The following is a 14,441-nucleotide window of genomic DNA, read 5'->3' as shown; positions in this document are numbered from 1 at the left end:
CCTGTCTTATTTGCTTTAAGGCTGCAATTTCTGTTCATTCTCTTACCCATGCACTTTGAAATTTCATTGCTCTGCAAAGTTTCCACTGAAACATCAGGTCGAGAAGACAAAATGTAGAGAATAGCAAACCAAAAATATACTCTTCAGAGAGCCCAGTGATGGAAATTATATTCTACGTAAGGCCATTAACCAGCTACAAAGCAGTAGCAGCTAACTAACCTGGGGATAAAAGACCATCTGCTGGCTGCATACTGATTCCAAGCATAATGGGTCTCCCATTCCCACCTCCACCTGGCTCCACAATTCCCTGCATTGTCTTTTAACCTCCTCTTCTTCAGACTCAACTGCTTCCTTATGCAACTCCAGAAACCCAGTATCTTATTTAAACACACCTGCCATTTGAAGTAGACAGGTCAAGGAGAGGTAGGTCCTTCTTCTGGTATAACCTCAGGTTCATCATGGGAATATAGATAAGCTGTTTCACTTTCTTGGCCTATTTACTCTCCTGTAAAAAGAGGGAGTTGCAGGAGATTCTTCAAAGCCAAACTGAATATTTTGATGGATTGAAGAAAAGAGCTATACGGTGTGTTGTAAAAGATTTCATTGTATTTTAGTATCAGGCTTGGCACCCCATCCCAGGCCTTCTGCTGAGTACATAGGGAGACATTTAAAAAAAAGAAGAGTGAGACTTGGCCCTTGAAGAGATTATAATCTTAATCCTTTCCCTTGAAAGTCAAGGTATTTCACAGCACTGGATGACTTGCCTCTAAGACTAGCTTCTCACCTGAGAATCCCATCACACATCAGGACATTCTACTCTGGTGTTTTAGCATGTGTATCCTATGAAGGCTATAACCCATTTCCCATGGCAATTGTCTGAATTCTCTGCCAAAGCCTCTGCAAGAATCAGAAATCCATCAGAGCAGAACTTGTGAAATAACTCTAATGACTCCTCCCTGCTCCCCCCTCCCCCACCCCCAATTTAATCATAGAGAAAACTTCCAGCAAGATTTAACAATGTATTCCCTGGTAGTTCCTGTTACTCTAAGTGCAGCTACAGCAGAAAACGTGCAACCATTCCAGACCACTGGAGGGTTTGTCTAAATTCATACCATTGACTAACTACAATAAAAAGAAGCAATTTTATAGCAGATGTGACTGGAGTTGAGCCAGCTCTCTCCATATTCACCCTCAAACAAGACCTCACCCTGGAAAGGTTTCTGAAATGCTTCTGCACTCCTATGGTTTCAACACTTCTTATAATCAGAAAACACTCTCTTTCTCAACAGGGATATTATGTATGCTTTATATCAATGGAATCCGAGAGTCAATCAATCCAAAATCTCTTGGAGGATGGGACATTTGAGCTCAGATTCTAAACAAAAGGTTCTTTTCCATAGCAGTTTACTATCTGGATTTATGTAATTGTGGTCTCATTCCAGCTGAGGAGTTTCTAATGGCTCTTTACTCCCACTCAAGCTCTGGACATGAAGTAGGAAAATGAAATTACAAGGGAAGTGTGTCAACAGAGGTGCCCCTCTCCAAAAAAGTTAAGTAGATGCTCCTGCTTGTGTTGAAGTCCTTTTATCTGTGCAAACTAGCCAGATGAGTTCACTGGACAAGGCCTCTACGATTGTGTTTCATAGAATCCACTTGGCCTCACCTGTCTCTTCAGTTGCATCTAGCTTGGTCTTTGGCATGACAGGACCATGAGCTACAGCAGTGATGTCAGGAATGTCTTAGCTACTGCTCTAAGGGCCAGCACAGTACCCCTTCTGGTCAGCTCTGGATGTTGTTCAGAAAAGTGGCACTCTTTGAATGGTCCCTATTTAGTCTGGTTTAGTGGGTCTCCAGGGCCATGTACCTGTCTTTGGATGATTTTTTAAATGTTTCCTTAGCCGGGAGAAAGCATGTTAATCTTCTTTCAAAGTGTAAGTTAGAATGGGCTCAGGAAGAACTAGAATATATTTTATTACAGAAAACATCACACGCATACATAATCTCCAGTTTTTCTATTCAGATTTTTAACTTCCCTATACCTATCTTTCTACCTGCTGTATATTAAATCTATTATGGCAAATCAGCATACCATGAAAGCAGGGCATCAGAAAAAAAAACACAGCCCCTTTTCCTACAATATAGGAGGGGATAATAAAGCACCAATGTCATTACTAAAGTGGAATGTAGTATGTAACAGGATGAGGAGGGTGCCATGGAAAGGGCAAAAATTAAATCATGGAATGTCAGCAGTAACCTAAAGAATAGATGCGATTTCGACAGATGAGGACAAGATTCCAGGCAGAGGGAACAGTATGAGCGAAAATATGGATGTTAAAAAAATAGACAGCACATTCCAGGTTATTATCCATTTGGATAAAGTGTAATCAATGGGAGACATGTTTGGGAAGACAGATTTAGAGTACATCGAAAGCTTAAAGGGTCAGGACTCATTAGTATAGCAGTTCTCAAAGACAAACCAATAGGGTGCTCCCTCACAAACAGAGCGGCTTTCTATCTTCTTTCCGTTAGCTGACACCTTCAGCCCAGCTCAGATTTCCCTGTACTTATTTTGAGAGAACTTAACTTTCCCTTTGTCTCAGAAGTAAGAGTACCCACTAGAAATTCACATCTTCAAGAGTGTCCGTTTGAACCAGTAAGTGCTACGCATTTAGTTTGTCCTAGGTAGCCACCAGAAAGGGGATAGATAGGTATGGTAAAGTCATGGTTTTACTATGAGCTCACTACTCTATATTTATTCTGAAAAAGTTATGTCTATGAGTTGTTTACCAAGGCAATACTTAGTACAATGAAGGTATTTCTAAAGGAGAGCTTTTGATCCAAACTATCACGTTTTATTGATCTAACTGAAATAGTAAACAGACCTGAGGAAAACAGTCTAGCATGTCCTTTTTTACACCCTCAGTTGCATCTGAAATTACTTCTCCCAATGAGTATCTCTATTCAAAGCATGAAAATCAGGTCCATAAAGAAAAAAGGTATACTGAGGGGAAAAGAAGCCAAATATGAGTAGAAAAAAAAATAAAGACAAACATGTATTGACTGGTATTAAGTCACTGCTAGTCCAAGTATGGAAAAGGAATAGTTTCTTTCACAAAAGTTTACATTTCTTAAGCAAATTCTTTAGAACACTGGGGAAAAAGAAAAGTTAGTATTATCTACCACAGTAAAGATTGCCTCAAATCTTTTTTAAAATTGGTGTTTACATATCAAATAAGCAGTTTGCTAAACTCAACTTTTTCCACATTAGATGTATTTCTACCTCATCTAAAAGCATACCATGCTCAACATGTCAATTTAGCCTGAATGGTATAGAAAAGGCTAAAAAATTGAGTTCCCACAAGGTACTTCAGAGCATTTTAAATTCATACTTCTTCATATTTTAGTAGTTCAATCTTCCAATACTTAAGCCATTATATTTTCAGCACTAACAACAGTTAAAATGATATAAGTAAATTAAATCCCAAACAGGTCCCACCTGCTTAGTATACTGAATGGATCTAGACAAAATACCTACTCAATGTGATTTTTGTGCTTATTAGACAGAAGGTTAGTGCAATGTTTAAAAAAAAAGAAAAAACAGCTTGAGTTCTACTTTCAAAACAAACATAGCAGGGACCTCAGTGGTCTCCAAGTACATCTGACAAACTGGATAAAACATGTCTTCAACTGCTTTGGACTTGAAATGGACAAAGTGAAACACAAAATGACCAAAACAAAAACCTAATACTTTTAAGCCCTCTTGATATTCCAAGACTGCCAAAGGCTATTCCACTCTCATTGTCTAGATCAGCATCACAGTAGACCTGTTGAATAAAAATCACCTTATCTAGAATTGATGCAAGTTACTGCAATGAATAACTTGTAGTACATTTAGGGTGAAGAGTGGCTGGTGCATGATTAGAATACTCAGTGACTGTTAACTTGGCAAGTGTTCAAACATACCACAGTGCTTCCAAATCACAAATCACTTGGTCCTCTCTCCCAGGACAGGCCACTTACGGAGACCTTATTCTCAAACTTGACTGGCCTAGGGAAGCTATAGAAAGAGACCAAATTACCTTGCAGCCATAGCTGTGAACACACTGGAGCCATACTTGAAAACTGGCGATGAACAGGACAACAGAGAGATACCAATTCATTGCTAAAACATTCCAAAATGAGTTTATTACAAAATAAATGCACAGTCACTGGAGGAAGGGGTTATTTTATTTATACACTCGATCTTAGATTTAGCAACCTTTCATTTTGACTCAGGATTCATTGACTAACTTAAGATGGGCTAGTTTCTGCCAACAGGGCAAGAGTGTGCAATCTCAGAGTCCCACCCAACCTGGCCAAAGCAAATGACTTCTGCATTAATTAGAAGTCATCCCCAAAGGACTTGCCCTTCATGTTTTCCCCATTTTGCCCGCTTAGATACTTGCACAAAAGATGCACCCTTTGTCTTTAAAGTTCCCTAGTTCGATGTTTAGGCAGAAGAGCAAATCCCAGGTTATTATTCTGCAAATAATTTTACATTTCCTTTATTCCAAAAATGTAGCTACCAACTTAAATGTATCATGACACACAAGGGGTAAAAGTTAGATACGAACTTCCAATAGCTAGGGCATGTTTCCTGAAACACTATCGTTCATTAGTACATTATTCAAGAAGTTACCTTAACCCCAAAGAATCTAAGAAGGGCACTGTGTAATTCTTCAGGTCACAATGCCAGCATGACTGTGGAGTCTGTTACAGGTAAGACAATCACAAGTTACAATGCTGTGATTCCAAATACTTTGGGGATGTAGAAAATGTGCTTAGCTGGGCAGCATGAATTAGCTCAGCAACATAGTGCTATGATGGAAGAGGTTCAAGATGATTCATACTTTCACGCCAGACCAGAAGTCACAAGCTCACATAGCGGCAACTCTGACAGCTAGCCAAAGTAGAAGATACTTCTAAAAAGCAGCCTGGGGACATTTTAATTAATTGGCCTGGAAAATCAGGTCAGAATTACAAAGTTCCTCATCCTTATGAAGAAGAAAATGTGATAGTATGTCTTTTATATGGAAATTTCTTTGTATATATGTATAAACTTGGTATGGCCTTAATGCTGCAGTTAAGGATTTGTCTGGCTACCACCTTAAGCAGCGTGTTAAGCAATCGCTTCCTTAATGTAACATTTTTACTTCTTACTGGACACTCAACCTTGAACAACTAATTCCCTTTTGCCCCTTACTCTTCCCCCCTTTTTTTGCATGAAGTCACAAAAGTTATGGCAGTTATTTTTTGGCTTGTAAAAAAAAAAAATCTATTTCTGCAGTTTGAAGATGGAATGTAAAATTTCTGTGAAACATGTATATAAAAGTATATTTATTGAACCATCCATATACACATATCCATGCTGATTCCAATGGAAAAAAATTAAAGTTTTCTGAAATTTTCTGTGGTTAACTCATAATTATTACTATTTAACCAACTTTATATGCAAGAACTTCCAATTACCCCAGGGAGAAACCTATGTATGACCTGGAAAACATCTCACTTTAGACAAGGCTTTATGTCGAGAAATGAGAATTCATTTGTTCATTCAAGAAGTATTTATTGATAGGTGCTAGGCAAGATACAAAGATGACTCAGACACAGATCCTGCCCATAAGGAGCTTACAGTCTAATAGGGGAGAGAGAACACATACATGGAATACATGGTCAGAACTATGTTTCAGTAAGATGAATCTAACATTGTGTATAAAGTAGGCTGGAGTAAGAGGTTAAGTGAAGCTGAGAGACTACTGAAATTACATAGGTGAGGAAGAAAGACGGGAAAGACTTGAGGTAGAACTGACAGGACTTAGCTGAAGACTGGATGTGGGGAATAACAAAAATGGAAGCAGATGACTCAGACTTTAGCATGGATGATGTCATGAACTGAAAGAAGGAACAAGTTTTTGCAAAGAAATGAAAATTTCATATAAAATTCTTCTGCATAGAAACAAACTGTCTGGGATATACTAGGCACAATCAGGAAGAAATGGCTAGTTACCCAGACCAATGGAAGCACCTCAAACTGGCCAGTGACTTCCTCCCCCTTATATATCCATCCCCCCAAATTTCCCAACAATTTTCTCCACTGAAATGGTATAGTGCCTAAAATTTATTAAATTCAAGGTCTATCTCCAGACATGGCCTCCCTTGGGAATGAAAACAGAAATATATTAAGTTATTCAACTCAGTAAGTTTCATCTAAAGACTCTAGTTATGAGTCACTGTACCTTCTGGTGGAATACAGAGATGAACTCCCTAGTCCTTATCTTCTAGGAGCTTACAGTCTAGTAAAGTAGTAAAACAGATAATGTAATTCTAATTCTAGACTGAAGGGGTAAGTTATGAACTACGAGAAAGACAAAGTGCTCTAGAACAGTTTCAGAAATGAAGGTTGGAACAGGACCTCAAACAAGAGGGAAAATGTGGAAAGTAGATGAGAATGGATTTGTTCCTCACTCCAAATTCTGGACAGATCAGCCCCAAAACGGGGCTACTCCCCATTCCTGTTGAAATTTTTTCTTAGGAAAAAATATAGCTCTTGTACTGATCTTTTAAAAAATTACTTACATGGCAAGAGATCAGAGGAAAGGGGGGATTGTAGATCTCAGTGGACCTTCGGGGAAGACAGAAGGCACTTGAAGCCAAGGAATCACAATGCCTGGCTTATCGGGAGGACCCTCAGTGTTTTAGCAAGGCTGGAGCATCACTTCCATGAAGAGTGGGAGAAATAACTCAAAAGTAATATTAAGACCTTGATATAAACATGGCATTGCCAGGCACTAAACAGGGTACACGCCTAAGACCAAATTGCTGCCCCCTAGGAGCTTACAGTTACAACAATACAAGGTGGAAAAAGCACCACAATGTACAGAATGCAAAATGCTGAAGTATTTAGGAGAAATTACAGCTGAGTTTCAGCTATTAACACATTAGGATACCCAATAGCTTTCTGACAGCTAGTAGTAAACCCATCCCTGAGGGGAGCACAAGTTAATGTCCTTAGACAACAAGCCCTGGTAGAGCTGGGCCATTAAAGACAGTTCTAAGAAAATTGAGAAAACAGGGGTATGAAAACTACAGAAGCAACTGGGTGAACATACAAAAAGTGATACCTTCCCTTTTTCTCCTGACAAACTTTAACAGGGCTGCCCTTCCTACAGTGAATCTAAACTGATGATCACCATATTACTTCTAAAAGCAGATTTGGGACTCTACTAACCAATTCTCTCTGATCCTTTGTAAAATGAAGGGGTTGTACAAGTCACTTCCTAGTCCTTTCCAGCACTAACATTCTATGATTCAAAGAATTCTGAGAGTTTCTCTGTTCCTTTTGGTAATAACCAAAATAGAAGAAAAAAATTTAAGTCTGATGCTTCTCACTCAAAAATATAATTATTTTCTATATAAATCACAAATGATCCCTATGCTATCAGCTAAATTTTACTTCCACCCTATCCTTCTTCAAAATCCATGAATTTTTTAAAACCACATGTCCTACAAGCTACCTTAGCATGCACCAAATGATTTTTCAAAAAGTTTTCTCATCTCCTACTCCCTTATACCAACTTCTTGGTATAATGTCATTTAAAGGGCCAAATCAGTGTACATCCAATCTTCATAACAAAATTTTAAAATTTAGGAGAACAACTGACATCAAAGCATGAGGACAGTGAGTAACCGAAGTGGTTTTTGTTGTTTTCTAATTTTTTGTTTTTTAGAGACAGGGTCTCACTCTGTCACCCAGGTTAGAGTGCAGTGGTATGATCATAACTCACTGCAGCCTCCAACTCCTGGGCTCAAGCAATCTCCTGCCTCAGCCTCCTGAGAGACGGAGACTATAGGAATGCGCCACCACATCTGGCTCACTTTTCAATTATCTGTAGAGACAGGGTCTTGCTATGTTGCCCAAGCTGGTCTCAAATTCCTGGCCTCGAGCAATCCTCTGGCCTCAGCCTCCCACAGCACTGGGATTACAGGCATGAGCCACCCCACCCCACCCCAAAGTGATTTTAACTTCAGCAATAGTTAAAACTGTTTCTATCCAGGTTAAACAGGATTTAATCTTCCATCTAATTACTATCAAAAATATAGGCAACCTTCCCCAAAAGTGGGCTTCTGAAAATAAATACTTGGTTCAGTAAATCAATAATTTCTGGTAAACATCCTTAATTTACTTAAAAAAATCCTAAGACACACTGTATGCACACTGTACCTTACAAATCTGGGACACTGGCCACATTTCAAAATACTACACTTAGGAATTTCTGTAATTGGCCAAGTCACATGATTTATTAAAGGAATAGTTGAACAGATTCCCTATATTATTTTCCTCTTACAGGGAATTAAAATAAGCTACTAGGTTCAAGTAGAAACTGTGGAGAGAAGACGAATCCAATGTTTTCAAACAAGTCACATAAACAGAAACTAAAAACCTAATTGCAAGCCAACACATATGCATAATCAAAAACCAAAACTGGTTAAGGGTTTTAGGTAATCTGTAATCATCTTTTTACTCATTTAGGCCTTGATTTGAGACATGAAAGCATGAACAAGGCAGTTTAATTTCAGTGTTGTACTGAGGTGATATCTATCCACTAATAAGAATGTAAATATAAACAAGTTTTATCTCACATGTGCCACCATCTCTCCTTTACTATAGTCTGTTAAGAGTTGACAGGCCCACCTATGGTCCCCAGAATCTCAACATTAAACAAATATAAATCCCAAAAGGCATTACTACCTTAGAACCAGAAATTCTTAGTTATCATCTTGTGCCACACGGCCATTACTTGATCAGCAACTTTAACTTAACCCCTCATCCCACATAAGACATTGCTAATTTTTTTTTGGTACATTAGGCAGTTAGCTAAAACCTGATATTCAAATAAATGCTGATGTTACTTCAAGTTTAAAAACTGCTGAACTAAAAAGGTCAACAATTATCTATATGCAGCATTGCAAAGATTCCTTTAAGTAGCACAAAAAGAAAACTGCAATATAAAAAACATCTTTATAGATTTGACAAATGCAACCATTTAAAAGAAATGTCACTCAGCATAAACAGTGGTCTACAAATCTAAGCTCTTCAAAAAGGTTACCTGTAAGTTCTAAAATGGCCTTCTATAAAGTGCAACATTTTCCATTAAATCGTTAAATTCTACAAGGGTTTTTCAAATAGAGGGATGAAGAAAAGTATCAGAAGGTGACAGTTTATAAGCACAAAACACAAATTCTATAAACTCACCTGGATTATACTATAATAAAAATATTATTATTCACATCCAGATTTGAAGTTTGCATTAAATTATCAAACCTGATGAGAAAAAACTTAAAAACAAACCACCATTATTGTGTTACCATATATAATCTGCAAATCAAAAAAAGACTCACAAAACCCAAGTTTAATTATCTTGTTTGCCCTAAAGGAAATTAAGAACTGTAATGTTAACCTTGTTCTGAATGTATTCCAGACTCAAGTCTCCCTACAGTAGGAAGTTCATTGCGGTCTATGCTACTGAAATGTAATTAGGGGGGCATTATGGTTCTAGAGAAAAAGCATCAGTTTGGGAGGCAAATGTGCTCCTTGCTACATGGATGACTTGGAAGCCTGTCATTTAACTGTTCTGATTCAGTTTCTTCCTCATCTATTGTGCTGAGGACAATATCACCTAACCCGCAGCACAGATGTGAAAATTAACTTTTCTAACCTAAAGTGCAATTCAACTAACACTGTGGTAATGACATACTCAACCAAAGTCAAATTATTATTTTTGGATTATCTATCTCACTGGTCCCTAGCAATATCTGACAAAGTTGAGAACGCTGGAATACACAAAGTAAAACCCAACCTCACCACTAAAACAAAAATACAGTTTAAGGCCCAAGATGTCTAATTACAAATTAACAGGTCTTAAAAAACTAAGACCCACTGAACCAAACAAATCTTATCTAACTAAAATACTCATGAGGCCAGGTGCAATGGTGCACACCTGTAGTTCCGGCTACTTGGAAGGCAGGAGAACTGATGAGGCCAGGAGCTTGAGACCAGCCTGACAACATAGCAAGACCTTGCCTCTATAAAAATAAAAATTTAAAAAAAAAATCTCATGGGTCAAGAGTTCTAAGCTCAGTAGCTAATAACTATACATTGGGCCATTCCTACGGATGAAAATTTTCATTTTAAAATCTGAAAATGTTCAATGTGATGAGCTCCTACTGCTGCCACCTATAGAAAATGTTGCCCTAACTTATAATGATTTTCCAGCAGTGGAAACGTATACATCTCTAAGCTCTCAGGTTTACTCTACATGCAATAATGTACATAATTGTACAAGGATTCTCAACAGTTCTGATCATGATGCTAATCCTATTTCTTAGGTCCAATACTATCATTCAAAACCTCACAATCATCCCAACTCTGATGACAGAAAGCACTGGGGAAGCTTTCTATTTTCTGAGATTGTGCAGTAATTCCCTGCAACAAATTACAAGCAGCATCAGTATGTATTGCTACCACCTCTCCACATTTACACCAACATACACAACACACACATACATTTGGTACAAATAATAAAAAGTGAAATTACTAATTCCTTAGAGTAGATGTTACTGCAATTCTTGAAACAGATTTCCATTTCCTAGTTTGTTATTTATCTGAGGCTGAGTTTCAAAAGAATGAGTCTTCATTCCAGTTTTCCTAATCCCACAGCTCCACCCACCCACAGGAATAGGGACTATCAGTGTTCTCAATGGGGTTGCTTCATTTTTACACAACATTTGGTATCCTTAGACCCCACCCAATAAATGCCAGATGCATGTCTCTCCAACAACCCTTCCAAATTTCACACATTTCCAAATGTCCTCTAGTATGTGATAACACCAAGCTGAGGATTGCTGCATCTAGTTAATGCCCTTAAGTCTCCAAGTAGGAAGAACTTCTGTTTTGAAATGTATAATTTAGTATTCACTCATGAAGGATAATTTCTAGGCTATCCATAATTTATGACCTTGAAGTTACCACAAAGTAATTTTTTTTTCCAAAGTGACTCAGACTAAACTTTTCTTTCCACCCACCACATGCTTAATATAAGCTACAAAAGTATAAGTTGTATTTCTTCCTATTATCAGTGATCTGGGCCAAAAGTGGTTACCAAAGTTACTTTAACCCTACAAAAAAGCCATGTGATTCAGTTACATTAAGTTTATGTAAAGGAGATGCTGCCAATTTTCAAATATTTGAGGAACTGGAACCAAACTGGTAATACCAACTTCACTGTGGTCTTAACCATCACAGCAAACCTAGAGTTTCTCAGTAATGCAAACCAAATATTCCTATGCTATCCTCAAACGACAGTCCTAAAGATGAATACTGTTAAGAAAATAAATACGCTGAATTTTACAACCTGGTTGCCCTTCAATTAGTAATGACAATCACACAAAAGTTTGTTTCACACGTGTAAACAAAACCTTCACCCATCTCACACACAGCACTCAACAAATAACACATATGTGAAACGAGTATTAGTCTATATTGCCAGATTAAATTTTCTTCCAGAAATATTTTAATAAAAATTGGCCATTTCCAAGTAACACCCACTGCATGCCCATCAATAAAAGAGAACCATAACAAAATAGAAAATTTACCATATGGCTATGATTTTAAGAAAAAAAAAAATGCGGACACGAGCACATGAGCAAAGTCCAATATTAAAGTAACATTCCTTCTTACGGGCTATGATTAGGAATCTGATTAGATACCAGAATAAAAATACAAATGCTGAACTATTTAGGTCAAAGAACCTCTATAGAAGCATCTGTCTTCAAAGGCATTCCAGTTTGAGACTCAATTTTAGAATAAGGCATAACAAATATGTTAACAAAAGACATACACAAAGTGATGAAAGAGGGATTCTATAATTCCCCACATACTCTGAACCTAATAAAACAAATCTAGATTTTTTTTTTAAACAATTGCCAAGACTGAAATCAAAGATAAATAGAAGGCACAACAGTTTTGCTCTGGTTGTTATCTGGGTTTTGGGAATTTTTTTGCTTTTTGTTTTTTTACAAATACAAATTAAACATGAAAAAACTACTTCAAAAAAACTAACAGTTCAAGAAAAGCCTATCAGTTGCATTCTAGACATTTAAAACCTATTATCACAATTTAAATTTCAATGGTAAAAACAGTTAGGTTTTAGAATTGTTTTGTGATCCTTTATCAAAAAAAAATTCTATTCCTTTTATTCAGTTTTTAAACATACCAGTGAGAATCAAAATTGTCAAATTTTCCAATGGCAATTTCTCCACACCAGAAGGTAGTCATGACTCTCAAAGAAGAAACAATTTGGGTTTTTCCTGCCTTCAAAATATTATCAAATCCTGTATTTCTTACAGGCTTTTCAAACACGTAGAAAATAAGAAATATTCCAATGAATGAAACATACCAAATGTCAGTAATATGCAAGACATTCCTTTGGGGAAATGGCTGTAAAAAAAAAAAAAAAATCCAGTCTGTATATGCAAAGTAAGCAAGGAAATTCAGTCTTTTTTTTTGCTTCTTTAAAAGTCCGTTATTCCTAAAATATCATTCCACAAAATTGGAAGTGAAAGACTAAAGGTCAGGAAAGGGAAGAGAGGGAGAGGGAGCACACACCATTAACACACAAAAAAAGTAAAATTATACAAACTTAAGCAGTTTATAACAGACTGGGGTCATACTCCAAGATACCAAAGGCTGTCGAAAATTCACCATTCTGTTGGAACCAGGGTTTGTATGGCTGCATGAAGATCCATGAAGATTCACTGCCGTGGCGCAAGCCCCCTTCCCACTCCAAATCCTGGTTTCTGCACCATGCCTCCACGGGGAGGGCCTCTCATTCCACCACCCAGCCCACCTCGAGGGCCTCCAGGTCCCCGAAGGCGATTATCTCGTCGGTCGCCTTCCCTGGCAGCTCGAGTCTTCTTCTCTTCGACATTCAGACGGACCTCACCTCTGAACATGATGGGCTGTAAGAATCAAGGTGACCAGACTTAAGAGTACTGATGAGCTGGCTATCACTATCAAAGATAAAGAAAGCTGTAATAATGAACCAGCAGAGGCTGGGCACGGTGACTCATGCCTGTAATCCCAGCACTTTGGGAGGCCGAGACGGGTGGATTACGAGGTCAGGAGTTCAAGACCAGCCTGACCAACATGGTGAAACCCCGTCTCTACTAAAAAAACACAAAAATTAGCCAGACATGGTGACACACGCCTGTAGTTCCAGCTATTCAAGGAGGCTGAGGCAGGAGAATTGCTTGAACCCAGGAGGCGGAGGTTGCAGTGAGCCAAGATCACGCCATTGTACTCCAGTCTGGGAAAAAGAGCGAGACTCCGACTCAGAAAAAAAAAAGAACCAGCAGATTATAAATCAGCTAAGTTCTCACAGTTCAGTTTTTTGTTTGTTTTTTTAATGAGACAGAGTTTCACTCGTCACCCAGACTGGAGTGCAACTTGAACCCGGGTGGCGGAAGTTGTGGTGAGCCAAGGTCGTGCCACTGCACTCCAGCATGGGCGACAGAGTGAGACTCCGTCCCAATAAAAAATAAAAAATAAAAAAAATTGCCACCTTCTCCATAGATTTGGAGGCTTAGAATAAAACCTCATCATCACCAGTGTGAAAAGATGGTACTGTACATATTTATGCAAAGTACATATACATTTAAAATAAAAACTTCATTAATTTGACATAAACTTTAATTTGCTCTTTAACACCTCCTGAGAATTTTGGATAGTCTTGGCCTTCGTTTCCTCCTAACAGAGCCAAAGTAGTTAAGGGGCTACGAAACATTTCAATATATTCAATTTATGCTCTTCACCAGCAATGTAATTTTCTAATTTCTTAAAATGAGTATCTAAGAGTACTTACTATGTGTCGCGGAAGTGTTCTATTCAAATTTATTTATTTATTTATTTTTTGAGATGGAGTCTCGCTCTGCTGCCCAGGCTGGAGTGCAGTGGCGCGATCTCGGCTCACTGCAAGCTCCGCCTCCCAGATTCACGCCATTCTCCTGCCTCAGTCTCCCGAGTAGCTGGGACTACAGGCGTCCGCCACCACACCCAGCTAATTTTTTGTATTTTTAGTAGAGACGGGGTTTCACCGTGTTAGCCAGGATGGTCTCAATCTCCTGACCTCGTGATCCGCCCGCCTCGGCCTCCCAAAGTGCTGGGATTACAGGCGTGAGCCACTGTGCCCAGCTCTATTCAAATTTATTAGCTCACTTAACCTTTACAACAACCCTCTGATGGTAGATACCTACTTTAAGGACTAGCAAACTAAGGGCCGGGGAGGTTAAGTAACTTGTCCCATGGGTCACAACACTAATGAGTGATGAAAGGAGAATACAAACCA

At 38.3% G+C, this 14,441-nt stretch overlaps 1 protein-coding gene across 2 annotated transcripts in view; it reads right to left on the bottom strand.

Annotated features, from left to right (window-relative positions):
• Nucleotides 1–4,155: 4,155 nt before the first annotated feature.
• G3BP1 (G3BP stress granule assembly factor 1) overlaps nt 4,156–14,441 on the bottom strand; it is a 40,832-nt gene continuing 30,546 nt past the window's right edge. For both annotated transcript variants that reach the window (NM_005754.3, NM_198395.2), the window contains exon 12: nt 4,156–13,056. In NM_005754.3, the coding sequence (NP_005745.1) occupies nt 12,850–13,056 (207 nt within the window). In that variant the 3' untranslated portion in view covers nt 4,156–12,849. The remainder of the gene's footprint in view (nt 13,057–14,441) is intronic.

This window comes from Homo sapiens, chromosome 5 (genome assembly GCF_000001405.40).
Source record: "Homo sapiens chromosome 5, GRCh38.p14 Primary Assembly".
Classification (NCBI taxonomy): Eukaryota; Metazoa; Chordata; class Mammalia; order Primates; family Hominidae; genus Homo; species Homo sapiens.
This window is presented reverse-complemented; position numbering and strand designations above follow the sequence as displayed.